The following is a 25,260-nucleotide window of genomic DNA, read 5'->3' on the forward strand; positions in this document are numbered from 1 at the left end:
ACCTCCTGGGCTCAATGGATCTTCCCACCTCAGCCTCCTAAGTAGCTGGGACTACAAGTGTGTGCCACCACGCCCGGCTAATTTTTGTATTTTTTGTAGAGATAGGGTTTTGCCATGTTGCCTGGGCTGGTGTCCTGGACTCAAGTGATTCACCCACCTCTGCCTTCCAAAGTGCTGGGATTATGGGCATAAAAGTCACCACACCCAGCCAGTATACATATCTTGTACATGTTTTAGTAGGTTTATGCTTCAGTGTTTCTTTTACTTATTTATTGCTTCCTATCCCACAGCTTACTTTGTTTCTTGAGCTGTTGTAAGAGGTTGTTTTTTGAATTTTGGTTTCTGACTGTATATTTCCAGTGTTTAAAAACAAAACTGATTTTTATGTGTTGTTCTTATACCTCATAACCTTGATGAATTCACTTACTGGTTGTAGGAGATTAGGATTTTGTTTGTTTTTATAGATTTGGGGGGATTTTATGTGTGAACAATATGTCATCCATTAATAAGGACAGTTTTATTTCTTTTTATTCAATCTCTATGCCTTTTATTTCTTTTGCTTGCCTTGTTCCATTGGCTGACTTCCCGTTTATAAGGTTGAATAGTAATGGTAAGAGTCTATAGCCTTTCCTCATTCCCACTCTTGGGGAAAGCTTTCTTGCTTTCACAATTATGTATCATGTTACCCACGGGGATTTTTGGTGATGCTGTTTTATCAGGTTGAGCAAGTTCCCTTCTACTTCTAGTTTGCTTCTAGGGTTTTTTTTTTTTTTTTTTATCATGACTAGACATTTTATCAAGATGTTTTTCAATGGCTGGGTTTGGTGGCTCATGCCTATAATCCCAGCACTTTGGGAGGCCGAGGCAGGCGGATCACCTTAGGTCAGGAGTTTGAGACCAGCTTGGCCAACATGGTGAAAACCCATCTCTATTAAAAACAAAAATTAGCTGGGCATGGTGGTGCACTCCTGTAATCCCAGCTACTTGGGAGGCTGAGGCAGGAGAATTGCTTGAACTGGGAGACGGAGGTGACAGTGAGCTGAGATCGTGCCATTGCACTCTAACCTGGGCAACAAGGAAACTGTCTTCCAAAAAAAAAAAAAAAAAGATGCTTTTTCTATACCAAGTGATATGTTCATGTGGTTTTTCTCCTGTACAGTTAATATGGTGACTTATGTTGATCTTCAAATATTGGACCAACCTTGCATTCCTGGAATAAACCCTACCTGGTTATGGTGCACTATCACTTTTATATATTGCTGGATTTGATTTAAATTTTTTTTGAGGATTTTGCATCTCTGTTCATGAAGGACATTTGTCTATAATTGTCTTTTGTATTGTCTTTGTCTGGTTTTTGGTATCAGGGTGCTGTGGGCAGAAAATCGAGACCAGGAGTGGGTTTGTTGTCATCACAAATGCTCGAAAAATGTGGAAGCAGCTTTGGAACTGGGTAGTAGGCAGAGGCCAGAAGAGTTTGGAGGAGCGAGAAGAAGCTTAGATGCCATTCATGGAGTGTAAAGGGTGATTTTGTTGAGGGCTCAGAAGAGAACTGTAGGGAAAGTCTGAAGCTTCTTTGAGAATACTTAAAGTGGTCATGGTCAGAATGTTGGTAGAAATCTGGACAGTGAAGGCCATTCTGGTAAGATCTCAGACAGAAATGAAGAACAAGGTGTCAGAAACTGGAGGAATGACCATCCTAGTTATAAAGTGGCAGAGAACGTGGCTGAACGGTGTCCATGCCCAGTCCTTCCTTTGTGGAAGGAACTGGGATATCTGGCTGAAGAAATACTCAGGGTGTGGCATGTTTTCTTCTAACTGCAGAGAGTAAGATGTGAGAAGAGAAATGAATTAAAGATGGAATTTATAATTAACAAGGAAAGAATAGGGATCGTAAGGATTTTCAGCCTGCCCATTTAGGGAGTAAATAAGATGTCTTTAGGAGAACAGACCAAGTGTGTGGCCAAGCAACTTAGTATGGACAGAACGAAGCCAGAGGCTGCTCATCAGGACAGTGGGAAAATGGCCCCAGAGGCATTTCAGATTCCTGGTGCTGCCCCTCCCACCACAGGCCCAGAGTGCCAAGGCCTTTGGGAAGGAAATATGTCAAAAGAGAGGTGTAGGGTGTGGACCTTAGAGCCTGCTGGCCAGGGCCACCCCAAGTCTTGGCTGTCTGCATTCCAGTGCAGACCCCCTAAGCCACTCCAGCCTGTCTCATGTGGACCCAGGGAAGGTACAAGTCATAAGCCTTGGTGGTGTCGATTCTGCAGCCTTGCAGGAGCTGTGGGGACATGGCTTCATCCACTGGGTGTCACACAGGATGTCACAAGTCTCCAGGCCAGAGCCATGGCAGAGAGCCCACACTAGGGCAATATGTGGTAGAGCCTTGGGGATAAGGCCACCCCTGAGACCCCAGAACTGGAGAGCCTCTAGTGTTCATTGCCAGCCTGGGAGAGCTGAAGGCACGAGACTCCAACCTAAGAGAGTTGTGTGAGGTCTGAGCCCAGCAAAGCTCTAGGGGTGAGGTTCCCAAGAGCCTGAGGACCCAGCCGCACCCCACGGCGTGCAGAAGGCAGGATTTGGAGTCAAAGATGATGATTCTCAAGCCTTAGGATTTAGTAGTATTCTCCCTGTTGGACTTTGGACATGCTTTTGAGGCCTGTTATTCCTTTCCTCTTTATAATTTATCCCTTTGGAATGGAAATGTCTGTTCTATGCCTGCCCTACCATTGTATTTTGGAAGCACGTAACTTGTTTAATTTCACAGGCTCATAGTGGAGGGAAAGTTGCCTCAGGATGAATCATGCCTTGAGTCTCACCCATGTTTGATTTAGACGAGACTCTGGGCTTTGGACTTTTGAATGGGGCCATTGGGATGGAATGAGTATATTTTGTATGTGAAAAGAACATGAATTGGTGTAGGGGCAGGGATGGAATGCTACGGTTTGAATGTTTTTATCTCCCAAACTCATGTTAATATTTAATTGTCATTGTAACAGTGTTAAGAGGTGGGATCCTTAAAGGGTGATTAGGTCAGAGGGAAGATAGGCTGGAATTGGTGCTGGTATAATAAGATGAGCTTGGCCCTCTCTTGCCCTTCCACCTTCCACAGTGACACAACAAGAAGGATTGCACCAGACGCTGGCACCTTACTCTGGGACTTCCCAGCCCCCAGAACTGTGAGCCAATAAATTTCTATTCCTTATAAATTATCTGGTCTCAGGTATTCGGTTATAGCAGCAAAAACAGACTAAGAGAAGACAATGTTTGTGCCCCCCCCACCCAATTTCCTGTGTTGAAACATAATCTCCAATGTGATGGTACTTGGAGGCAGGACTTTTTAGATCATGAGGGTGCAACACTTGTGGATGGGATTCGTGCCCTTAAAAAGAGGCTGCAGCCCAGTATGGTGGCTCACGCCGTAATCCCAGCACTTACGGAAGCCGAGGCAGGCGGATCACTTCAGCCTAGGAGTTCAAAACCAGCCTGGACAACATGGCAAAACCCCATCTCTACAAAAAATATAAAAATTAGCTGGGTGTGGTGGTGCATGCCTGTGGTCCCAGCTACTTGAGAGGCTGAGGTGGGAGGATCACTTGAGCCTGAAGGTCGAAGCTGCAGTAAGTCATGACTGTACTGGTGACTCAAGGCTGGGCAACAGAGTGAGAACCTGTCTTTTTTTTTTTTTTTTTTTTTGAGATGGAGTCTTGCTCTGTCGCCCAGGCTGGAGTGCAGTGGCGCGATCTCGGCTCACTGCAAGCTCCGCCTCCTGGGTTCACGCCATTCTGCCTCAGCCTCCCGAGTAGCTGGAACTTGGTCTCGATCCTCCTGACCTTGTGATCTGCCCACCTCGGCCTCCCAAAGTGCTGGGATTAACAAGCGTGAGCCACCGCACACGGCCTTTTTTTTTTTGTATTTTTAGTAGAGACGGGATTTTACCATGTTGGCCAGGCTGGTCTTGAACTCCTGACCTCAGGTGATCTGCCCGCCTTGGCCTCCCAAAATGTTAGGGTTACAGGCGTAAGCCACCGTGCCCAGCCTTTTTCCTTCTCTTTTTATAGATACCTAATCTTGGTATGAATGGTCCTTTTTACATCTTCTATTTTTTTGCTGAGACTTTCATATTTTTACATCCATTGCAAAATGTTTGTGATTGCTTGCTCTGGCATATTTATAGTAGCTACTTTAAAGCCCTTGTCAGATAATTTCAGCATCTGTGTCTGTGTCACTTCCTCCCAAGCCTGGCGTTTGGTTGGTGAGGACTTGCAGGTTCCCCCTGCATATCGGGAAGTGTGAGTTTTTGTTCAGGGTGCATCTACCTGGGGCCATGGCATAATGTTCATCTGCAATGATTGTAAGGTGTTCAGATTTTGTAAATCCAAATAAAACTGTTTTAAAGAACACAATCCTCAGCCGGGCATGGTGGCTCATGCCTGGAATCCCAGCACTTTGGGAGGCCGAGGCGGGCGGATCACGAGGTCAGGAGATCGAGACCATCCTGGCCAACACAGTGAAACCCCGTCTCCACTAAAATAATACAAAAAAATTAGCCGGGCATGGTGGCGGGCGCCTGTAGTCCCAGCTACTCGGGAGGCTGGGGCAGGAGAATGGCATGAACCTGGTAGGCAGAGCCTGCAGTGAGCTGAGATCGCGCCACTGCACTCCAGCCTGGGCGACAGAGCAAGACTCTGTCTCAAAAAAAAAAAAAAAAAAAAAAAATCTCTCTCTCCTACATTGCTGTCTGCAAAACAATGGAGGTTATGGATGTTAGATTGCATCTCGATGTTAAACCTTTGCTAATGTACTTATGGGAATCACAAAGATTCTGTTTGTAAATACAGAAGTGAATTGTAGACATAAAATGGTTGTGCCATGTGGATAATGGCAGGCACTAGGTGACATTTATGTAGTAACTAATGACAAAAATTCATGGCTAGTGGCATATAAAATACTCTTTGCAGTAAAATATTTCCTTGATTAATGTTATAGAAGGGGGACATAACAAGGAACTCACAGTTGGTGTGGCAGCTAGCCTCAAAGACTGTCTTTCATTTGGTTTCAGCACCTCCTGTTTGGGGTTATTAGCATCTTAGAAGAGCACGGTGGCCTTGTCTGATGAAGCCGAATTGTGCTGGTCTGTTCCGAGCTGGTTTAAGTGTTCTGATGGGCAGCTGTGGATGTTGGGGTTCAGAGCTTAGTCATCGTTGCCTGAAATGGCACTAGACTCTACAATTTCTGCCTTGGAGAACACTCAGTTCTTACTTGTGATTTCTGGTAGAACAAGCTTTATTTTTCTAGCCTAGTAATGATCTTGAAGCAGAGGAATCCCAGTGCCTTTTAAGAATTGTGTTGGCCGGTGCGGTGGCTCACGCCTGTAATCCCAGCACTTCTGGAGGCCGAGGCTGGAAGATTACTTGAGCCCAGGAGTTTGAGACCAGCCTGGGCAACATAGACCTCATTTCTACAAAAATTAAAAAATAATAAAAATTTGTTGTGTGGTTTTTTAAAAAAGCTACTAATTGTTTTTGGGAAATAGAATTTATGGGTCTTTACCTTTGCACATTGAATCTTTTATTTTTTATTTTTATTTTTTAGAAACAGGGTCTCTGTCACCCAGGCTGGAGTGCAGCGGCCCGGTGATTGCTCCCTGCAGCCGTGGCCTCCCAGGGAACTAGGGTTTCAGGTGTGAGCCGCGGTGCCCAGCTGCAAGTTGAAATGTTGTGGTTCTTCGTGTGTCAAGCAATTTTGGGCTATATTCTAGACATTTTGAATATGACTTTATGAGATCTGGGTCATGTTTGAATCCTGTGGGAAATGTTGAAGTCTGGTTAGCAGGCACTTGGTCCTGTGAAGGTTGGGCCCACATTGTTCCTGCCCGCATGAGTATCTTTGGTTAGCAGGCACTTGGTCCTGGGATGGTCAGGCCCACACTGCTCCCACCTGCGTGGGTGTCTTTGGTTAGCAGGCACTTGGTCCTGTGAGGGTTGGGCCCACACTGCTCCCACCTGCGTGGACTCCTGTCTTCAGAGCTGCTGGTCTTTGGTCTGGGACCCAAGGCTGGTCTGCAGTTCCCCACGTCCATGGTGTGATCATTAGACCCATGTGTCTGCATGTGAGCTGAGCCCGGCATCCACAGCCACCCCATGTGGGTGCTTCCCAAGCTCCCCACGCTGGGTTTGGTTGCTGGGCTCACTCACTGTCAGTTCAGACAGTGACATGCCCTTGACTGGGCCGCGTTGGAGTCTATGTGGCAGGAGGACAGGGGAGGAAAGCTAATGGGGGTGGTCCCACCCTCAATACAGCCGCACTGAGCTGTGAGGGACTTTCTGGCCCCAAGTTTGGCTCTGATGGGTTCCTGTAGCCACCACTCCCACTGCCATCAGGGTCACAAAAGAATGGAGAAGAGGGTAAACCCAGGGCATTGCCTCACTGACCCTGCGCATCGGCGTGGGTTCCTTTCCCTGGCCCTTAGGGCTGCTCTGGGCTTTCTGCCTGGCCCCAGCACTCACGTCCGGTGTTGCGGCTGCGTGGAGTTCAGGTCATGGATGTTAGGTCAAGCACCAGTTCTGCGAAACTTGGGATCTTGCTGCTGCTCCCTGACCCAGCTCTCTGGCAGCTGCTCCAGGCCCCGTGCACAAGTTTCATAGCTGCAGTTTCACAGAGTTCACTCTGTCGCCCAGGCTGGAGTGCAGTGGCGCAATCTCAGCTCATTCCCGGGTTCAATGAATTCTCCTGCCTCAGTCCCCTGAGTAGCTGGGATTAGAGGTGTGTGCCACCACGCTCGGCTAATTTTTTTTTTTTTTTTTTTTAAGTACAAAAGGGGTTTCACCGTGTTGGCCAGGCTGGTCTTGATCTCCTGACCTCAAGTGATCCGCCTCGGCCTCCCAAAGTGCTAGGATTACAGGCATGAACCACCACGCCCGGCCTGACCTCAGCATATGTTTTCTGAGGACTTCTGTTCTTTTGCTAATTCAGTCACTTTCTCTTTAAACACTGGGTCTCCACCCCTGCCCCGTAGATGGGGTGGGGGCATGCATGCCGCTCCATTCCCCTCCCAGGGCTGTGTTTCTTTCGTCTCCTCTGTGCCATCTTCTGCTGCCTGGTCCTCTCGTCGAGTCTGTCTGGTCCAGCACTTTCCACATATCAAGATTTTTTTTTTTTTCTTTTCCTTTTTTGAGACAGAGTCTTGTTCTGTCGCCCAGGCTGGAGTGCAGTGGTGCAATCTCGGCTCACTGCAAGCTCCGCCTCCCAGGTTCACGCCATTCTCCTACCTCAGTCTCTCGAGTAGCTGAGACTACAGGCGTCCGCCACCGCGCCCGGCTAATTTTTTGTATTTTTAGTAGAGACAGGGTTTCACCTTGTTAGCCAGGATGGCCTCGATCTGACCTCGTGATCTGCCCACCTCGGCCTCCCAAAGTACTGGGATTACAGGCGTGAGCCACCGCGCCCGGCCTACGTATCAAGCTTTTGATGCAGTCACTCGCCCTGTCATTTTCCAGTGTCTAATTGGCTCCCTTTTTATTTTGAAATGTCCAAGTCCTCTTGATTTCTGTCCCCACTTTTGTTTTATGGTGCATAGGAATGTTTTTGTTAGTCTCCTTGAATGTGAACGTAGGTAAGTCCTTTTCAGGAAATTGCTCAATTCTTTGGAGCCTGCCCGTGGTGTGCTTGCATTTACAGAATCTGTCAGCTCCCTTCTGAGGGTGTTAGTCTCAGGGCAGCTTATCTTGTCTGGGGGTCTTTGGTGTGTCTTCCTTCCTTTCCTTGTTCTCGCCCACGTTGGGGGTTTTATTATGAACTGCAGTGGTCCCCAGGGCTTCCCAGCTGGAGACCAGGAGTTGGCAGGGCAGAGGCTCCGTCCCTCTGGGTGGCGCAGCCTCTCTCGGTGGTGCTGTCCCTGATCCCGTCGGTGCTCGAGCTCAGCCCCAGGGTCTCTACCTGCGGCCCACGTGGCTCAGGGGAACCATCACCTCGACACTCACTCGTCTCCTCTGCGTCCTTTCTCTGTACGGGGTTGCTTGCTGCCATGTTTGGAGCCACAAGCTCTGTGTGCTTCCTATAATGGGCAGCTGACCCGAGTGCCAGGCTCTACTCCTGCCATCTTCCTTGTCACCACCATCGCCCCGGGCCCCCGAGCTCCCGGTGCAGTTCCAACAAAGCCTGTGGGGTCCAGCTGGAGCTCCACCTCTGCTCCCACTTCTGGGCCCCTGGTCCCATCCTCGCCGGCCTGAACTGACTGTGGAGACCGCCCTGGCACTGGGAGCGACACGGCCTGCCGACTCTGGACCCAGCAGCCGAGGGACTCCCTCAAGGACGGGACTGTGGGGGGCCGCCCTGGCACTGGGAGTGACGCAGCCTGCCAACTCTGGACCCAGCAGCCGAGGAACTCCCTTAAGGATGGGACTGACTGTGGGGGCTGCCCTGGCACTGGGAGCGACGCAGCCTGCCGACTCTGGACCCAGCAGCTGAGGAACTCCCTCAAGGACGGGACTGACTGGGGGGGCTGCCCTGGCACTGGGAGTGACGTGGCCTACTGACCCTGGACCCAGACGGCAGGCCCTGCATGCTGCCAGCCCCGGCACATGTGCCAGGCATCTCCCTGGAGGTCATGGAGGACAGGGCAGTGTGACAAAGTCTGGCACCAGCACATGACCTCAGACGCACATGTCACCTGTCAGCAGTGACTGCAACATTCACTCCAGTAGGACCACTGTGCCAGCAATAACAGCGTCACCCGTCAGCAGTGACCATGAGGTCCACTCCACTGTGCCAGCAGTGCCCACAGTCTCCCTCCCTGCAGACAGAGACTGGACAACAATGTGCTGTTGCCAACTGTTTATTCAGGGCCCTGAACGGGTGGTGCGTGGACATGCAACACACTCGGGCCCACAGCAGCGTGACCGGCCGCTCCCAAGCCCCGGGCGCACAACCACAGCCAGGAGCAGCCCCTGCCACCACTGGGCCACCGTCCAGGGCCCCACAGGACCAGCCGAAGGTGCCCCGGGCCGAGGCCAGCTGGGTCAGGTGTACCCCTAGCCTGGGGTTGAGTGAGGAGCGGCACCCCCAGTATCCTGTGTACCCCAAGTTGCCCAGGAGGCCGAGGGGGCCTTGGGCTCCATCTGCACTGGCCACCCCGTGCCAAGCATCACAGCTGCGTGAGCAGGTTTGTGTGTGAGCGTGTGGCGGGGCCTGGTTGTCCCCTTCCTAAGGCGTAACTGCTATAAGCATCTCCACCTCTCCCGCTCGGGAAAAAGCCACAGAGCCTGGCGATGTCCTCAAGGGGTCCCGGTGGCTCCAGTGCACCCAGCACACCTCAGCGCCTCTGGCTGGCAAGCCAGGAGAAGAAGGTGCGAGGCCGTGGGCGAGGTGCCTGGAGGACGCGCATGGTGCGTGGGGAGCGCCAGGCTTTGATGGTGGCGTCGTCGCTGGCCGTGAGCAGCAGCTCCTGCTCCTGGGGACTGAAGACCACTGAGTTGACCACATCCTCGTGCCGCAGCCTGGCCAGACAGATGTTGTAGTGGCGGTCCCAGATGTAGCCGTGCCGGTCCTCCGCCCCGCTGCAGAACAGCGCCTGGGTGAGCCGGCCGCCCGCCCGCTGCTGCCCACACCCGCCCTGCACCACGCCGCGCCCTGCACCTGGCCACGAAGTCCCTGCTGACGTCCAGGAAGATGAAGAAGCACTCGTCGTTGGGCGTGTAGGCGCGGTGCGCACGCAGAGCCCGCCTCACCTCCCGCATGGTCTTGAGGTCGAACACCAGCAGGTCAATCTCCTCCGCGATTGGTGGCGGCTGCATGGGGTCGGCCACCACCGCACCGTTGGGCCAGGCGCGGCTGTTCACGTACAGGTACCTGGGCGAGGGGCACTGTGCTAGGTGTGGGCCGCCTGCGGGCACCCCGCCTGGGACACTGGCAAGAGGCCCACCTGTTGTCGGGCGACAGGCCCATGCCGATGATGTGTCCGTGTATGTCTATGACGTGGTCCAGCGCGTCGAAGAAGGCATCGGAGCCCCGGCCCTCACCCAGCACGGGCCCTGCCGTGGTCATCTGGTGTGGCAGGATCTGCTTGATGCCTGCAGGGAGGGCTACGGTGAGGGTCCCTGTCCAATGCCCCAAGGACATCACTCCAGGGCAGCTTCCTACCTCAGTGGTGTCTCTGGGGCTGTGAGCACCACAGAGGTCCGTGGGCACTGCCTGCTCCGGGGGCCCCAGACCTGAATCAGGCCCGTCGGTTGCTTGCTGGCCAGCGGCCCTGCCTGCGTTTGTTTTCACTGCTCATCCCACAGGCCCCAGGTCTGGGCTTGTGACCCCAGGGGCGAGTGAACGATCCCAGCTTTGCCTGTGGACTTGCTTGCTGTCTGCCCCTCAGGACCCCTGCCCGGCCTCCCCCAAGCTCCTAGGACCGAGGCGGGCAGCATGGCGGCAGGGGTGTACCGATCTGGTGTGGGGAGTAGGTGAGGCAGCCAGTGGTGAAGATGAGGTACTTGCTCTTGGCGCCTGTGGCACTGCGCTCGGGTGGCTTGGTGTGGCCCTGGGCCAGCAGCTCGGCCACCTTGGTCTCTAGCATGCGCTCCGACAGCTGTGGCTGCGCCCGCCCCTCCAGCACGCGGTCCAGAAAGTGCCGCAAGCCCTCCTTGGCGTGGGCGGGGGCCGGGCCAGCCACCACCTCCTCGTTGTCGCTGCCCAGGTCAAAGATGCGGCAGGGGGACGTGGCCGGGTCACCGGCTTCCAGCAGCAGGTCAGGGCTGTCGAAGCGGCTGCAGTCGGCCACCATCACCGTGCGGACGGTGCTGGCATTGAGGTTCTGGATCTTGAACAGCCGCTTCACCACGTTGACGTTCTCTGACTCCACATCCTGGGGGCGGGGGCACGTGCCAGGTGGGCGCCGGGCGCCAGGCCCCAGGAGGGCAGCCCCGCCCCTAGCCCCGCACGCACCTGGAAGGCATTGTTGAGCCACAGCACCGAGCAGGAGGTGATATCTCCGATGCGGTGCAGGTTCCCCGAGATGAGGCTGGTCTCGGTGAGCCAACAGCCAAACACGTCATAGGGCTTGTTCCGCACGCGGGACAGCAGCGCGAAGGAGTCTGTGGGGAGGCCGGGGCTGGACAGGCTGTCGGCGTGGGGCGGGGGCAGGGTCAACCCGCCGCCCGTGCTCACCTAGGCTGATGACAGCAATCTCGCCGGATGAGGAGTTGTGCGGCCCCAGGAACACCCCCGAGGCCAGCAGTAGCGAGTCGTCCTTGTTGAACTGGGAGAACTGGGTGTAGCTCCAGTTGTAGGGCCGCATGTCCGCGCTGTGCAGCAGCGAGATGGTCAGGTCGTTGCTCCAGATCTGTTCGGCAGGGGCGGCTGTAGTGATCGCCTGGCCAGGTCGCGGGGCGGGGGCCTGCTACTACACAGCCATGAGGCCCCAGCTCTGCCAGCCCTACTCAGAGGCCACCAGGGAGCAGGGACCCCTTCCAGCCACTGTCATCCACTCGGGGGGCATTGGTATAGAGCGGAGGAGCCTGCCCCTGAAGCAGGCGGCTGTGTGTGGGACCCTCTCCTCAGCACTCAGGGCCACCCTGCACCGCTCCTGATCCTCTGTGGTCCCTCCGCTGGATGCAGGGAGGCTGCTGTCACCTCTGGCCTGACCCACCCCCCCCCCCACCACCACCTGGTTGGAACGCCTGGGTCCTGGGACCTCCGTGCTGCGGCAGAGCTGGGTGGGGTGTGCAGGACACCTGGCCGTCCTCACCTTCACAGTGCAGTCCTTGGAGCAGGACGCGAACTGGTACCCGGAATGGGAGAAGCTGAGGTGCAGGACCTGGTCTGTGTGTTCCCGCAGCGTCTGCACCTCCACGCAGGGCACCGTGTCATACAGCCGCTGGAACTCCTCGTACCAGGACATGGCCGCTGCGGGTGGGCAGTTGTCAGTCCTGGGCCCGGGCCTTCCTCGCAGTCACGGCCATGAGCCGAGTGTGGCCCCAGCAGTCCTGGCAGGCCCCGTGGTGCCCCTGGAACCCACTAGTCATGGCATAGGCCTCGGCTGGGGGATTCAACCCTGTAGCTCACAGAGACCCCTGTACCCCCCACCCCCCAAGTGACCCAATGAACCCTCTGGCCTCCAAGCTCTGAGGGGCGCCTGCGCTGTGTCCTGACAGGCCTCTATCAGGGTGTGGGGGGGTGAGCATGGACACGCGGGGCCGCGGGGCGGGCCCCCAGCCAGGCTGACCCCCAAGCGCAGGGGCCCGGGGCCCTGGCTGCAGAACGTGGGTAGGGGCCCCACACGCCACTGACCTGGGTGTCGGGGCACGTCGCGGGCCACCTGGTAGTAGCGGTAGAACTGCTCCCTCCACAGGAACTCGTCCCGCGACACGGCCTGCCATTGGCGGCACACCAGCCCGGCGGCCAGCACGTCGGCCGGGCCCAGGCTCAGGAAGATCTGGTAGACCAGGCTGTCGGGGAGCAGGGGCGTGCCGCCCTCGTCCATCGTGACATTCTGCCCAGGCGGCCCTGAAACCCACCAACGGCTGCCCTCAGCCCAGGCCCGGGAAGGGAGGCCGAGAGCGGGCGTCCTGTTCCTCCAGCCCCAACCGTCCCGCCGGGAGTTCCACGGGGCTGCGTGTCTGCAGGGGACGCCCGGGTACCGCCGCCCAACCAAGGACCCGGCAGCTCCGGGCGGGCCGGGCCGGCCCCTCTCCGCCGCGTCATCCCCCGGCCTCCTGCGGCCGGCAGCGGGCGCCCCTCAGCCCGCCAGGGCCCGGACCGCCGCACGCGAGGCACGGGGACACCAGGCGCCGTCCGGGGACGGGCTTCCGCCGAGAGGAAGCTCGGGGCGGCCAGGCAGTGGCCTCCGCCCTGCGGCCCTGGAGCAGCTCTGCCCGGCGGGCTCGGGGCGGACGGCGGGGACGAGCGCACGGGCGGCCTCGGGGCTCCTGCACTCGCCCAAGGCGGGCGGGGACGACAAGGCGGGACCCCCGAGGGCCGCAGGCGCACTCACCACGGCCGCCTCCGCCCGCTGCGCCGCCCCCGCCCTGCGCGACCCGGACCCGCTTCCGCTGCCGCAGCCGCTCGGACCGCCGCCCCCGCCCAACGGGGAGCCCGCCAGGCCCGACGCCACGAGCCCCGAGGCATCGATGGCCGAGGAAGGCAGAGCGCGCGGGTAGCCCGCATCCGCCCCTCGTGCGCCTGCGCCTTGGGCTCCGGCGGCCTGGCCGGCTTTTCTTTGTGCGCCTGCGCGCACTCGGGCGCATTGGGAACAGCGCCCCTTGTGGCCAGCGGGCGGCGGTCGTGGGCGGGGTTGCAGGCGAGGCTCAACGAACGCTGGTTCGGGACCCGCCTCCGGCGCTCCCTGTTGCCGGGCCCTGAGCAAGTGGCTTCATGAACCCCGTGACGTTGGCCATGGAGATAAGACCACTGGGTGATGGTTTAAGGAAGATAACGTGTAAAGGGCTAAGGACTGTCGGTGGAAATCAGGGGTGCAGGAGAAATGGATAAACAGCCAGAGGTCAACTCGGACTTTGTACATAGGACATGGTGCCAGGGCCCTGCCAGGAAGTGCAGATCGAAGCTAGGCTCACGAGGAGGCTGGAGGTGGGGGGTGGGGAGGCAACGGATGGACATGGACTTCCTGGGCTGGGCTCTGTGACAGCAGAGTAGACTCTGTCCTGGGACTTGGTGGTGCTACCCTTGGCCTCCCACAGTCCTGCCACCCTGCTGCCGCCACCATGCTGCCCCCTGGGACTGCGACCCTCTTGACTCTGCTCCTGGCAGCTGGCTCGCTGGGCCAGAAGCCTCAGAGGCCACGCCGGCCCGCATCCCCCATCAGCACCATCCAGCCCAAGGCCAATTTTGATGCTCAGCAGGTAGAAGTTGGGGGGGGTAGAGGGAGGCAGGTAGAAGTTGTGGGAGGGGTAGAGGGAGACAGGTAGAAGTTGTTGCGGGGGAGAGGGAAGCAGGTGAAGTTGTGGGGGGTGTAGAGGGAAGCAGGTGAGGGGCCCTCCCACAGTGCCCTCGAGTTCTCCCATGGTCTGCCCCCAGTTTGCAGGGACCTGGCTCCTTGTGGCTGTGGGCTCCGCTTGCCGTTTCCTGCAGGAGCAGGGCCACCGGGCCGAGGCCACCACACTGCATGTGGCTCCCCAGGGCACAGCCATGGCTGTCAGTACCTTCCGAAAGCTGTGAGTCCCAGAGCAGCCCTGCACCCTAACCCCAACCCTCCTCTCAGCCCCCGGACTTCAGCCCTGCTCTGGCCCCTGACCCCACCCCGGCTGTGGCCTGGACTAGGATTCCTGGTTGGGGTCTCCCAGCCTGTGGTGCCTCCTCCCCGCCCCCCCAGGGATGGGATCTGCTGGCAGGTGCGCCAGCTCTATGGAGACACAGGGGTCCTCGGCCGCTTCCTGCTTCAAGGTGAGGCAGGGGCTGCAGGGCATGTGGGTGGGGGATGACGCAGCCACTGTGGCTCTCTGACATGGCTACTGTGGCTCTGCCCCAGCCCGAGACGCCCGAGGGGCTGTGCACGTGGTTGTCGCTGAGACCGACTACCAGAGTTTCGCTGTCCTGTACCTGGAGCGGGCGGGGCAGCTGTCAGTGAAGCTCTACGGTATGTGGGGGCCAGCCTCTGTGACCAGGCAGGCGCTCAAGCTCTGCACACTCACTGGGCCACCCCGAGGGGCTGGGTGAGCCCATGGGGACACACTTCCTTTCTCCCATCCTGATCCTCCTGCTAAGCAGGGGCCCAGGGAGTAGTGACAGACAGGCCTGGTGTGGGAGCAGGGAGAGGGCCCCGAGGGGGCAGGGGACACACAGACCCCGTTTCCAGAGCCCTCCACGCCGCCTGGTGCCAGGACCCCAGGAACCCTGTCTGCCCTGCAGCCCGCTCGCTCCCTGTGAGCGACTCGGTCCTGAGTGGGTTTGAGCAGCGGGTCCAGGAGGCCCACCTGACTGAGGACCAGATCTTCTACTTCCCCAAGTACGGTGAGTGTCCCCAGCAGGTCCCCAGCTCAGCCACCCCCACTCTCTGGGCTGATGTCCAGCCTGACCCCTGCCTTGGGCCCCCAGGCTTCTGCGAGGCTGCAGACCAGTTCCACGTCCTGGACGGTGAGTGCACAGCGGGGCAAGCATGGCGGCGTGGTGAGGGGGGCCACTGCCACCGGCTGAGTCTCGTCTCTGCTGCAGAAGTGAGGAGGTGAGGCCGGCACACAGCTCCAGTGCTGAGAAGTCAGTGCCCCGAGAGACGACCCCACCAGTGGGGTGCCCGCTGCCTGTCCTCCGTGAAACCAGCCTCAGATCAGGGCCCTGCCACCCAGGGCAGGGGATCTTCTGCCGGCTGCCCCAGAGGACAGTGGGTGGAGTGGTACCTACTTATTAAATGTCTCAGACCCCTCTCTGACTCTTCTGTCCACTCTGGACCGGCGCCAGTACCACCAAGGCCCTCTCTGCCCCCACCCCGCCTCTTTAAAAGCCCGGCGCTCCCTGTTGGCTGGAGTCCACGCAGTGGGCACTGGGCCGATTTCAGCGGCTCTTGGGATTTGGGAGGGGAGATCCTCTCTGGCATATGCCCATCTTGTGCCCTGCTGGGACCTGGGGGCGTCCAGCCTCACTCCAAGGCTGCTCTTGCCTGGGCCATTGTCCTGCAGCCCCCGGGCTGCTCTTCCGCCCCCGTGGGAGGCCAGCTGTCTCCCGTCACTGCCCATTTTGGCCTCTTCCGAGCCGAGCTGGCACCAGCTGGCCCGTGTTGGTGGCAGCAGTTGGTGCTGTCCACCCACAGCCACTGCACTCTCTGCACACCTCATCCACTCCCACGTCCCCCGTGAAACCAGGAAGCAGAAGAGAATGTGGGGGTGGGCCAGCTCTGCCCTCGGGGCAGCCCCTGGGCTAGGGCCGGAGAATCAGGAACCCGGCATGGCTTGACCATGCTGGGCCTGGACCTGGCCGCTAAGCTGCTCCTCTCAGGCCCTGCCTGCGGCCACTGGCATTTGTTTGATAAGCATTTCTGAAGGCCCACTGTGTGCTGGGCCCTGGGACCACCAGGTGGGCTGGTCCCTCCCCCTAGGAACTTACAAGTCCAGGGATCAGCCACCAATCGGCCACAGTGGGCAGGGATGGGAGGAGAAGGCACCTTGGAGTTGGTCCCAAAGCACACGGCCTGGGTGGGGGCAGGGAGGAGCCAGCAGCTGCTTCAGGGGGGTCCCCATCCCACGGGCGGGGCTCCCCCTGCCGTGCCCACCTGTTCACTAAGCTGCTAGACCCCAGGAGGGCAGGCAAGTCAGGTGGTGGGAAGGGGAGGCAGGGGCCCTGACTGCCGGGACCTGGGAAGGAGAAGGGCCCAGGAGGTCGTACCCTTGCATCGCCTTCCCCCACTCCAGCTCCATGTCCCAGAGACCCATGAGATAGCAGGGCGCAGCAGAAGGGCTCAGGGTTCAGAGCTGGCAACGCCGGGAAGACTCTAGGCCTGAGCCCCAGGAAAGCCTCCTCCATGCCTGGCCCCACATCCCCCAAACAGAAAGTGAGGGTCTCATCTGGGGGCAGGAGGAGTCGGGTAGCTGGCCACGGTCACAAGCTTCAGGGAGGGCTGAATGTCCGAGGGGTGGCGCCAGAGACCCACCCGATGACCTTGGGTGCTGTGGTTGGTGGCAGAGTGGCCCAGCCTGACCCTCCACGCCTCTGACTGCAGGGCTGGGTGGGTTCCCGCACTGAGTGAAGTGCGTGGCCACTTGGCTGTGTGCTCTGGGACCAGAGGATGTGCAGCGCAAGGATTACAAGGCATTTCATTTTCACAGAAGCATTGAATGAGCTCTAGTTAAATTTCAAACACTACATAAAATCACGATAGCTCTGTGTGAATCATTGTTCTTTAAAATAGTTTGCATAATTTGGCTGGGCGTGGTGGCTTACGCCTATAATCCCAGCACTTTGGGAGGCTGAGGCGGGTGGATCACTTGAGGCCAGGAGTTCAAGACCAGCCTGTCCAACATGGTGAAACCTTGTCTCTACTAAAAATACAAAAATTAGCTGGTCATGGTGGCAGGCGCCTGTAATCCCAGCTACTCCAGAGGCTGAGGCAGGAGAATTGCTTGAACCCAGGAGGCAGAGGTTGTGGTGACCCGGGATCATGCCACTGCCTCCAGTCTGGGCGACAGTGAGACTCTGTCTCAAAAAAAAAAAAAAAAAAAAAATCTATGGAAATGGCTGGGCGCTGTGGCTCACGCCTGTAATTCTAGCACTTTGGGAGGCTGAGGCGGGCAGATCACTTGAGGTCAGGAGTTTGAAACCAGCCTGGCCAACATGGTGAAACCCCGTCTCTACTAAAAATACAAAAAAAATTAGCCAGGCGTGGTGGTGGGCGCCTGTAATCCTAGCTACCCAGGAGGCTCAGGCAGGAGAATCGCTTGAATCCAGGGGACAGAGGTTGCCGTGAGCCGAGATCGCGCCATTGCACTCCAGCCCGGGTGACAGAGCGAGACTCTGTCTCAATTTATTTAAAAAACAACAACAAACAACAACAAAACTATGCAAACTGGCTGGGCACAGTGGCTCACACCTTTAATCTCAGCACTTTGAGAGGCTGAGGCAGGAGGATCGCTTGAGGCCAGGAGTTCAAGATCTGACTGGGTGGGCAACATAGTGAGACCTCATCTCTATTTAAAAAAAAAGTTTTTTCATCTATAGAAACTAACATTTAATTGTTAGCAGTCTTGCCCAAGACCTGCGGGGTCAGGAGTCCAGGACTGTCCTGGGTGCCCCCGCCTTGCCTGGACGTGAGAGTGCTGTGTGGGGCCCCGGGAGCCCCTGGTCCCACAGGCAGGGCCGACAGGCAGGTGCCGTGCCCGTCCTCCCTGCCCACGCAGGTGCTCAGAGGGACAGGTGGGCCAGGACTCCTCCATGTGGGGACGAGGCACCCTCCTCCCCAGCCACGCCCCAACCACCCCTGGCCCCCCACCCCACCCCCAAGGGGCCTCCCAGCGCCCAGGACCGTGTCTGGGAAAAGGTCTTTGCCCGGAGAGTGGGAAGAGAGAGGGGAGGGTGAGCAGAGGACAGGCCGGGAGTTTTCCGGGAACGGAGGAAGAGCAGTGGAGGGTAAGTCTGTCCTTGTTGCTGTGGGGAGGCCGAGATGAAGGCGATGGGTTGGGGGTGGGGGTGCCGGGGAGCGAAGCAGAGGGAAGAGAGGACCTGATGGGAGGGGTCAATGGGAGAGGCCCCAGGGACCGGTCCCCACGGTGGGCTGGGGGTCCAGGGTGCTGAGTGGAAGCGGCGGTTTCCCTCCCGCCTCTCAAGGACGCCTTGCAGAAGGCGCGGCTGCTCCTCCCCGTGGCACGCAAGCTCCCGGGCACCGCCTCCCGCCTCGGCCTCCCAAAGCGCTGGGCTCACTGGCGTGTGCTGCCGCGCCCGGCCCGCCCACCCCAGGCGGTATGGAAGGCCGAGGTCAGAGCCAGGACTCCCCCGGGAGCCCCGCAGGTGCCTCAAGGCCCGCGTCCTGCACGGCCCGTTCCAGCGCCGCCGGCCCAGCCAGGCAAAGGCACCTGCAGGGCCCTGATTGGGCGGCGGAGGTCACGTGCCCACCCTCCACCAATCACGTTAGACGGGAGGAGCAGCACCTGCGTCTGCCCCGCGGTGGGGGGAGGAGGCGCGCCGAACCCATTGTCGTGTCCGGGAGGCTCCTGCAGGGGACGTGGGGGGCACAGAGGTTAACGGCAGCAGCCAGTGGCTACCTGGAGGCACACACAGACCCCCCAGGGCGGCAGGAGTGGGTCTGGGGGAGGGAGCATGGGGCCTGAGGCGCTGCTTGGAGCCGAGGGACCCTCCTCTGTGTCGAGGACTCGGCCCACCCGACCTCTGCTGCTCAGTCTCTGTGGGTCTCGGGCTGGCCAGGGAAGGCCCGGTTTTCCTCCCGCAGGGCCCTGCATGGGCGGGGTCCGTAGCGGGGACTGTCCTGTACATGGGCTGTGTGCTGTGATCCCAAATCTCCCCAGTGCCCTGCGATAAGACGGGCTCCGGGAGGGGTGCCTGCTGCGCTGAGAGCGGGACCCTGGGGCTGCGGACAGGCGCTCCTAGGCTGGCTGGGGCCAGGGGGATGGTGGAGAGTCGAAGGCGCCTTGGGGAGTTCAGGGGAATGAACAGATTATTTCCAACTTTTCCTTCCCTGGGCCAGCCTCCTGAAACGCTAGCGTTGTGCTGGTGAGACAAGGCACAGCAAGCTGCCCTTCTACGTGGGCAGTGAGGCCTGGGACAGAGCCCAGCCCTGGAGCCCTGAAGTCCTGGGGGCTGGGCTCTTCGAGTGGCCAGGCTGGGGCTGCCACCCAGGGCAGGCTGCCGAGGCCCAGGGCACCTCCTGGGATGAGCCTAAGTCCCTTGTAAGCAGGGCTGGATGAGGGGAGGAGGTGGCCAGGACAGGGAATCTGGGGTGGGAGGGGGCAGCCAGGACAGGGACCTGGGGGGCCTGGACAGAGGCTCACAGGCCAGGCACACGGTGAGTGGGAGGCACCTGGCTCACCCTTGGTGACCCCTAACATGGAGTCCAGCACCCAGAGGCTTCAGCTACCTGTGAGGATGGGAGGAGAGGTCAGGAAGGGGACTCCACTCCCTAGCCCCATCGTCCAAGGGGTGCCAGGGCAGCTAGAAGCCCCAAGCCTGCCATTGCCCTCCCTGCCAGCCCTCTGTTTACATTTTATTTTTATATTTTTAGAGATGAGATCTCAGTCTTGCCCAGGCTGGAGTCCAGTGGCACAATCATAGCTTACTGCAGGCTCAAACTCCTGGGCTAAAGCAATCCTCCCACCTCAGCCTCTCAAGTAGCTGGGACCACAGGTGTGCACCACCACCCCCAGCTAACTTTTAAATTTTTTTGTAGAGATGGAGTCTCGCTATGTTGTCCAGGGTGATGTCAAACTCCTGGGCTTGAGAGATCCTCCCACCTTGGCCCCCCAAAGTGCTGGGATTATAGGCATGAGCCTCTGTGCCTGGCCTACTAATCCTTTCTTTTAGGCAGGACCAGCATGGGGTGCCCACTCCCATTAGTGGGGCTTCCCAGCCCTGCCCCTCCCTCTGGGCAGAGACTGCGTTTAAAATGCCCCAGCTGTCCTCACCAGGTTGCCTGGGTGCTCTGCAGGCCCCAGCCTCCCTCCTCGCCTGCTCGGGCCACCTCCACCCCGGCCTCATGGCCACAGGGCCCCTCCCTGGTCCTGTTCTTGCTCCAGGGCCACGGCCCACGCTGCGGTTCAGGCATGTGTGGAGCCAGGCAGGGTGGGGGTAGGGGGGCGGCTGGCAGGCCCAGGCCCTGCAGGGGGAATGCCCGGGTTTGGCCACAGCTGGGCCCTGTCCCTTATGGCTGCGGCAGGTCACGCTGTCTGCCTGGGACGCAACATTCTGTGACAGGGAGGAAGGCTGGGGCAGGCTGCGTGGGGCCTCTGAACCCCCAGCATGGGGCACTTGGAAGGGGGCTGAAGGGGGCAGGGCCTCAGAAATGAGAAGAAGAGGTGGAAGGTGGACCTGGGGGCCCCTCCTACCCCACCTGGCTGGAACCCAAGAGACCGCAGGTGGGTGGGTGGGACCTGAGGAGAGCCCACACCAAGCCTGCCCTGGGCACCACCTCTCCTGCCAGTCCTGAGGAGGGAGGCAGAGGGGCACACCCCCTTGGGAGGGGCACCTGCTGGGTATGTGCATGAAGAGGTGGGTCTCTGGGTCACCTGCCCATGGCCACTTCCTTCTCTCTGTCCCTGTGGGCCCAGCAGCTGCCAGGATGAGGCTGCTGTGTGGCCTGTGGCTGTGGCTCTCCTTGCTGAAAGTCCTGCAGGCCCAGACCCCAACCCCCCTGCCACTCCCGCCCCCGATGCAGAGCTTCCAAGGAAACCAGGTACAGGGGTTTTGACGGAAGGAGAAGCAGCCGGCTGGGTCTGAGTGCAGGGAGAGGCTGGTGGCTGAGCAGGCCTGGGGATGCTGCCCAGAGAGCCAGGACCAGCCGTGCTTCCAGGAGCCCCCAGGCGGGCCCCTGACCTCCAGCAGAGGAGGGCCCAGCGCAGACCTTCCTGGCACCCATTCCCTGCCGTCAGCCCAGCCCATCGCTCCCTCTGTGCGTGAGGGGAAACAGGCTCGGGAAGGCCGCACAGCCACTGGCCAGGGTCACCATGTCCCTGCCAGACCCAGAGTAGGCTCTGGTTCTTGCCAGTGTCCCTGGCGCCGGCCCAGCCAGGAGCACTGCTCTGTGAGGGGTCCAGAAGCTGCCAGGGAGGGCGGGAGGGGGCTCCTGACCCTGCCCACTGCCACCCCTGCCCACCGCCGCCCCTGCCCACCACCGCCTCTGTAGTTCCAGGGGGAATGGTTCGTCCTGGGCCTGGCGGGCAACAGCTTCAGGCCGGAGCACAGGGCGCTGCTGAACGCTTTCACCGCAACTTTTGAGCTAAGTGATGATGGCCGCTTTGAGGTGTGGAATGCGATGACTCGGTGAGTGGCTGTCCCTGCCGTTCCAAGCGGGTGAGGAGGATCCCGGGCCTGGGTCCCAGCCGCCAGTGGCTCAGGTGCGCCATGGGCCCTGTCCCAGCACAGGCAGCTTCATGACTCTGCCTGCCAATGACCAAACCCAGCTGGGGAGTATACAAAAAAGTGTGGGCAGCTGGGCGCGCTGGCTCACACCTGTAATCCTAGCACTTCGGGGGCCGGGTGCGCTGGCTCACACCTGTAATCCCAGCACTTCCGGGGCTGGGCGCGCTGGCTCACACCTGTAATCCCAGGACTTCAGGGGCCGGGCGCGCTGGCTCACACCTGTAATCCTAGCACTTTGGGGGCCGGGCGCGGTCGCGCACACCTGTAATCCTAGCACTTTGGGGGCCGGGCGCGGTGGCGCACACCTGTAATCCCAGCACTTTAGGGGCCGGGCGCAGTGGCGCACACCTGTAATCCCAGTACTTCAGGAGGCAGAGGCAGAAGGATCACTTGAACTCAGGAGTTTGAGACCAGCCTGAGCAACATAGTTAGACACCATCTCCACTCATGACGCTTGGCCACTCCCGCCGTGGGTCCCTCTGAATAAGTGGCTGAAATCTCCTGAGGGGCCCACCTCAGCATGGACCTGCCAGCTTCCGGAGCCTTCCGCCTCCACCTGTCCCCTCCTACAGAGGCCAGCACTGTGACACATGGTCTTATGTGCTGATACCGGCAGCCCAGCCTGGGCAGTTCACTGTGGACCACGGTGTGGGTAAGCCAGTCACAGGAGGGAGGGACGGGGTGCTGGCCCACAGGGATGTGACGTCTGTGCCGCCTCAGAGCCCGGGGCGGACAGAGAGGAGACCCGGGTGGTGGACAGCGACTACACCCAGTTCGCCCTGATGCTGTCCCGCAGACACACGAGCAGGCTGGCCGTCCTCAGGATCAGCCTGCTGGGTGAGCCTCCCACCCCGTCCTGGGCCCGTGTGTGGCCCTGGAGGCACCTCCTTCCAGGCTTTGGGTCAGACCCTGCCTCCCCACCCCGCCTGGAGTGACTTGGGGGTACAGATAGTTCAATCTCCCACCTACCCAGCCCCCAACCCCCTGCCAAGTGCACAGACCCATGCTGGGCTCCCTGGGCTGCAGGCAGGAGCTGGTTGCTGCCTCCCGGGACGCTGGACCAGTTCATCTGCCTGGGCAGAGCTCAGGGCCTCTCGGATGACAACATCGTCTTCCCAGATGTGACTGGTAACATGGTTCACCTGCAGGCATGCTGGGCAGTAGGCACGGGGCCCGCAGGAATGAGTTTGGTTGACCCTAGAGGAGCTGGACCCAGTGTCTACCCAGGGAGCTCAGCCCCAGCCTGCGCTCAGGGGTCTCCAGGCTCCTGGGTCCCTGTGCTCAACCCAGGCTCTGAGCCACCTCCTGCCGCCCCGGGTCCCCTGTCCTGGGCCACCTCCTCCCACCCCGGGTCTCCTGTCCCGGGCCACCTCCTCCCGCCCCAGGTCCCCTGTCCCGGGCCACCTCCCCCTGCCCCTCCCGCCCCAGGTCCCCTGTCCCGGCCCACCTCCTCCCACCCCGGGTCTCCTGTCCTGGGCTACCTCCTCCCACCCCAGGTCCCCTGTCCCGGGCCATCTCCTCCCTCTGGGTCCCCTGTCCTGGGCCACCTCCTCCCCTCACCCATCCCTGCTCACAAGGAGCTTGGACTCATCCCAGGAGGTGCCCTGGACCTCAGCAGCCTGCCCTGGGTGGCAGCCCCAGCCTGACCACTCAGACAGCCGCGGCCCCCAAGGCCTGACTCTTCTTGTGGGAGGGCGAGGTCAGCCTGAGTCCCTCCTCTTCCTGGAGGGATGCCCACCGTGCCCTTCTGATTCCCGCCTCTGGTCCTTTACATGTGCATAACCACATGCACACACACTCACGCATGAGCAAACGTGTACAGACTGGCACATGCCTCCACATGCGAACACCCACTTACACACACGCCACTCACACTGGCACACATGCTGTCTACCCGTGCACAGGCACACGTGCTGGTCTGCACACACCTGCACACACCTGCACACTCGCTATGCCAGGCCTCCTGGGTCTGCAGTGAGTCTGGGGGCCCATGGGGACAGGGACAGGTGAGGGGCTTCCTGAGGACCTGGGGCTGTTGGGAGCCGCTGTGGGCCACATCTTCTGCCCCTTCTCAGCCTCCCTCACCCCAGCCCCTTCCCCTAGACCCACTGCTGGTCCCCTTTCTCCCTCCTGCTTCTCACCTGAAGCCACCTGCCCCTCCTTTGTGCCCTCCCTTGCTTCCTCCTGGGCTCTGTCCCCTGCTCCCCCTTTGTCCTCCATCCCGACTCCATCTCCCCCACCAGGCTGGTCACCCCAGGCCAGCGTCTGTTGAAGGATGAAGCAGCTCCTGTCCGGCCCAGCCCTGCCTCACAGCTGTGCGAGCTCTGCCCTCCTCAGCTCTCAAACCTGAATAAATGCACCAAGCCCAGAGCCCCAGAGTGTGACCACTATGACCTTGGGTTGGGCAAAGAGACAGGAGCAAGGCGACCGCTGACCCTGCAGGGCTGCAACAGCTCCTTCTCTGGGCACACTATGGCCCCCCAGCCGGCTGTCTCTGGCCAGTGTGTGTGACTCTGTCAGTGAGGGCATGCACATGTATGTTCATGCATGAGTCTTTGCCCATGGTTGCAGGTTGTACAAGGTCGTTCCCAGGCCAAGGCCCCTCCATCCCTGCCCCTTGGGCCCTTGGCTGTGGGAGTTCGCAGGCTCTTCTCCACCTCCACCCTGGTCAGCACTCGGGGCTGCCATACCAGATGCAGCCGGGCTGGAGCTTGCCCCGGAAACACTCAGACCCCGAGCTGTCCCAGGCAGCGGCTGTTCTGTCAGGGAAGCTGGCCTGGAGCTACCAGGGTCCCAGAACAGGAGGAGGCCCTGGTGCAGATGCCCCAGGCCTGGGAGAGGGGAGGCGGTGACAAGCAGCCTCGGGCTGGAGCCTGCTGGGCACAGAGACACAAAGGGTCTGAGGTCACAACCCAGACACCCACTCCCAGCCTGAGCCCCCCAACCCTGACTGTACACCCCTGCAAGATGTCTGTATTCGGACGCCCACCCCCACCGGCCAGCCAGAGCAACTCATTTCTCAGCCCTCCGATGTCTGTGTCCATCTCAGCCCCCACTGTCCTCCGGGCAGGGAGAGCAGGACACCACCCAGGGCGGCCATGGACCCTAGTGGTCTCTGGCCTTGCTAGAGAGTAAAGAGCATCCAGAGACCCCCAACCTGGTGCCTAACCTTCACCCACCAGGAGCACCCCGCTACTCAGAAGCATGGCCCTTGTTTAGAATCCTTCTGCCATCATGTGCACCTCCTGCTGGGCAGGCTGTACAGGATCCAAGCAGATTCTGGAACTGGAAGACGGACAGAGACAGCAGACAGACTGGAATTCCTCCCTGCCCTGACGGCCCCAACGAGATGGATCCCCATGATCAAGTCAAACGACACCAGCTGTGGTGCTTACTGCAGCCACAATTCAACCTTTTCTGTGTGTCTGACTCCCCAACACACAACTCCCACAAGGGCAGGCACAGGCCTGCTTTGTCCATCACTCTATCCCACATTCCAACATGGCGCCTGACACAGAGAAAGCTGCTGAAGGATGGATGGATGGATGGATGGATGGATGATGGGTGCATGGATGGATGGATGGATGGTTAGATAATGGTTGCGTGGGTGGATGGATGGACAGATGAGCAGATGAATGGATAAATGGAAGGATGGGTAGATGGGTGGGTGGATGGATGGGTAGATTAATGGATAAATGGATGGATGAAGGGCTGGGTGGACGGATGATGGATAGATGTTTGGATGATGGA

General features: G+C 59.3%; 3 protein-coding genes across 18 annotated transcripts, besides 8 other annotated features; 2 read left to right on the plus strand and 1 right to left on the minus strand.

The window, feature by feature from the left end:
• Nucleotides 5,827-6,440: an enhancer, noted in NCBI's record as "H3K4me1 hESC enhancer chr9:139831896-139832509 (GRCh37/hg19 assembly coordinates)". NCBI's record gives its function as "activates a minimal SCP1, AML or CMV promoter by ChIP-STARR-seq in naive H9 embryonic stem cells {active_cell/tissue: H9 hESC(naive)}" and the evidence as "EXISTENCE:reporter gene assay evidence [ECO:0000049][PMID:30033119]".
• Nucleotides 6,441-7,053: an enhancer, noted in NCBI's record as "H3K4me1 hESC enhancer chr9:139832510-139833122 (GRCh37/hg19 assembly coordinates)". NCBI's record gives its function as "activates a minimal SCP1, AML or CMV promoter by ChIP-STARR-seq in naive H9 embryonic stem cells {active_cell/tissue: H9 hESC(naive)}" and the evidence as "EXISTENCE:reporter gene assay evidence [ECO:0000049][PMID:30033119]".
• FBXW5 (F-box and WD repeat domain containing 5) lies at nucleotides 8,818-13,121 on the minus strand. Of its 6 annotated transcripts, none has more exons than XM_017014812.3 (9): nucleotides 12,977-13,121; nucleotides 12,274-12,489; nucleotides 11,732-11,889; nucleotides 11,152-11,326; nucleotides 10,930-11,078; nucleotides 10,483-10,849; nucleotides 9,920-10,067; nucleotides 9,634-9,846; nucleotides 8,818-9,554 (listed from the first exon to the last, which is right to left on the minus strand). In XM_017014812.3, the coding sequence occupies exons 2-9, from the start codon at nucleotides 12,464-12,466 to the stop codon at nucleotides 9,311-9,313; spliced, it is 1,647 nt and encodes a 548-aa protein (XP_016870301.1). In that variant the 5' UTR covers nucleotides 12,467-12,489; nucleotides 12,977-13,121; the 3' UTR covers nucleotides 8,818-9,310. The 6 variants fall into 6 exon arrangements, with proteins under 6 accessions (XP_016870301.1, NP_061871.1, XP_011517091.1 ...); NM_018998.4 differs by having other exon boundaries at nucleotides 10,429-10,849; XM_011518789.2 differs by having other exon boundaries at nucleotides 11,152-11,356.
• Nucleotides 11,534-12,299: an enhancer, noted in NCBI's record as "H3K27ac-H3K4me1 hESC enhancer chr9:139837603-139838368 (GRCh37/hg19 assembly coordinates)". NCBI's record gives its function as "activates a minimal SCP1, AML or CMV promoter by ChIP-STARR-seq in naive H9 embryonic stem cells {active_cell/tissue: H9 hESC(naive)}" and the evidence as "EXISTENCE:reporter gene assay evidence [ECO:0000049][PMID:30033119]".
• Nucleotides 12,135-12,204: a silencer, noted in NCBI's record as "silent region_20560". NCBI's record gives its function as "represses an Ori minimal core promoter by ATAC-STARR-seq in GM12878 lymphoblastoid cells {active_cell/tissue: GM12878}" and the evidence as "EXISTENCE:reporter gene assay evidence [ECO:0000049][PMID:35858748]".
• Nucleotides 12,585-13,164: a silencer, noted in NCBI's record as "silent region_20561". NCBI's record gives its function as "represses an Ori minimal core promoter by ATAC-STARR-seq in GM12878 lymphoblastoid cells {active_cell/tissue: GM12878}" and the evidence as "EXISTENCE:reporter gene assay evidence [ECO:0000049][PMID:35858748]".
• Nucleotides 13,626-15,358, plus strand: C8G (complement C8 gamma chain). Of its 2 annotated transcripts, NM_000606.3 has the most exons (7): nucleotides 13,626-13,841; nucleotides 14,017-14,153; nucleotides 14,312-14,382; nucleotides 14,468-14,575; nucleotides 14,848-14,949; nucleotides 15,034-15,072; nucleotides 15,151-15,358. In NM_000606.3, exons 1-7 carry the CDS (start codon nucleotides 13,704-13,706, stop codon nucleotides 15,162-15,164), a joined length of 609 nt encoding a protein of 202 aa, NP_000597.2. In that variant the 5' UTR covers nucleotides 13,626-13,703; the 3' UTR covers nucleotides 15,165-15,358. The 2 variants fall into 2 exon arrangements, with proteins under 2 accessions (NP_000597.2, XP_047279799.1); XM_047423843.1 differs by lacking the exons at nucleotides 15,034-15,072; nucleotides 15,151-15,358 and having other exon boundaries at nucleotides 14,820-14,912.
• LCN12 (lipocalin 12) lies at nucleotides 17,580-24,921 on the plus strand. Of its 10 annotated transcripts, none has more exons than XR_007061284.1 (7): nucleotides 17,581-18,051; nucleotides 20,703-20,824; nucleotides 21,275-21,411; nucleotides 22,083-22,162; nucleotides 22,537-22,638; nucleotides 23,107-23,209; nucleotides 23,754-24,921. XR_007061284.1 is itself a non-coding variant. In XM_006717065.4 (6 exons), the coding sequence occupies exons 2-6, from the start codon at nucleotides 20,711-20,713 to the stop codon at nucleotides 23,154-23,156; spliced, it is 1,068 nt and encodes a 355-aa protein (XP_006717128.1). In that variant the 5' UTR covers nucleotides 17,580-18,051; nucleotides 20,703-20,710; the 3' UTR covers nucleotides 23,157-24,921. The 10 variants fall into 10 exon arrangements, 6 of the variants coding, with proteins under 6 accessions (XP_006717128.1, XP_011516864.1, XP_011516862.1 ...); XR_001746279.3 differs by lacking the exon at nucleotides 17,581-18,051 and adding an exon at nucleotides 22,231-22,347 and having other exon boundaries at nucleotides 20,656-20,824; XM_006717065.4 differs by adding an exon at nucleotides 22,231-22,347 and having other exon boundaries at nucleotides 17,580-18,051; nucleotides 22,537-24,921.
• Nucleotides 18,053-18,152: a silencer, noted in NCBI's record as "silent region_20562". NCBI's record gives its function as "represses an Ori minimal core promoter by ATAC-STARR-seq in GM12878 lymphoblastoid cells {active_cell/tissue: GM12878}" and the evidence as "EXISTENCE:reporter gene assay evidence [ECO:0000049][PMID:35858748]".
• Nucleotides 18,173-18,672: a silencer, noted in NCBI's record as "silent region_20563". NCBI's record gives its function as "represses an Ori minimal core promoter by ATAC-STARR-seq in GM12878 lymphoblastoid cells {active_cell/tissue: GM12878}" and the evidence as "EXISTENCE:reporter gene assay evidence [ECO:0000049][PMID:35858748]".
• Nucleotides 21,296-21,477: a silencer, noted in NCBI's record as "fragment chr9:139847365-139847546 (GRCh37/hg19 assembly coordinates)". NCBI's record gives its function as "represses an EF-1alpha promoter that drives an FKBP-Casp9 reporter gene in an ReSE screen in phorbol 12-myristate 13-acetate-treated (for megakaryocytic differentiation) K562 erythroleukemia cells {active_cell/tissue: K562(+PMA)}" and the evidence as "EXISTENCE:reporter gene assay evidence [ECO:0000049][PMID:32094911]".
• Nucleotides 24,922-25,260: the final 339 nt, after the last annotated feature.

Source organism: Homo sapiens, chromosome 9 (genome assembly GCF_000001405.40).
Source record: "Homo sapiens chromosome 9, GRCh38.p14 Primary Assembly".
NCBI classification, from domain to species: Eukaryota; Metazoa; Chordata; class Mammalia; order Primates; family Hominidae; genus Homo; species Homo sapiens.

Excerpts from the sequence above, each read along its gene's own strand:
- FBXW5 (XM_005266089.3), bottom strand. The coding sequence starts at position 12,466 with ATGGACGAGGGCGGCACGCCCCTGCTCCCCGACAGCCTGGTCTACCAG. Across the intron at positions 11,357-11,731 it reads CCAAGGACTGCACTGTGAAG|GCGATCACTACAGCCGCCCC; the intron begins GTGAGGACGGCC and ends CGACCTGGCCAG. Across the intron at positions 9,555-9,633 it reads AGCAGGGACTTCGTGGCCAG|CGGGGCGGAGGACCGGCACG; the intron begins GTGCAGGGCGCG and ends GCTGTTCTGCAG.
- C8G (NM_000606.3), top strand. The coding sequence starts at position 13,704 with ATGCTGCCCCCTGGGACTGCGACCCTCTTGACTCTGCTCCTGGCAGCT. Across the intron at positions 13,842-14,016 it reads CCAATTTTGATGCTCAGCAG|TTTGCAGGGACCTGGCTCCT; the intron begins GTAGAAGTTGGG and ends GTCTGCCCCCAG. Across the intron at positions 14,576-14,847 it reads GCTGTCAGTGAAGCTCTACG|CCCGCTCGCTCCCTGTGAGC; the intron begins GTATGTGGGGGC and ends TCTGCCCTGCAG.
- LCN12 (XM_011518560.3), top strand. The coding sequence starts at position 20,435 with ATGAGAAGAAGAGGTGGAAGGTGGACCTGGGGGCCCCTCCTACCCCAC. Across the intron at positions 20,508-20,702 it reads TGGAACCCAAGAGACCGCAG|CTGCCAGGATGAGGCTGCTG; the intron begins GTGGGTGGGTGG and ends TGGGCCCAGCAG. Across the intron at positions 20,825-21,274 it reads AGAGCTTCCAAGGAAACCAG|TTCCAGGGGGAATGGTTCGT; the intron begins GTACAGGGGTTT and ends CCGCCTCTGTAG.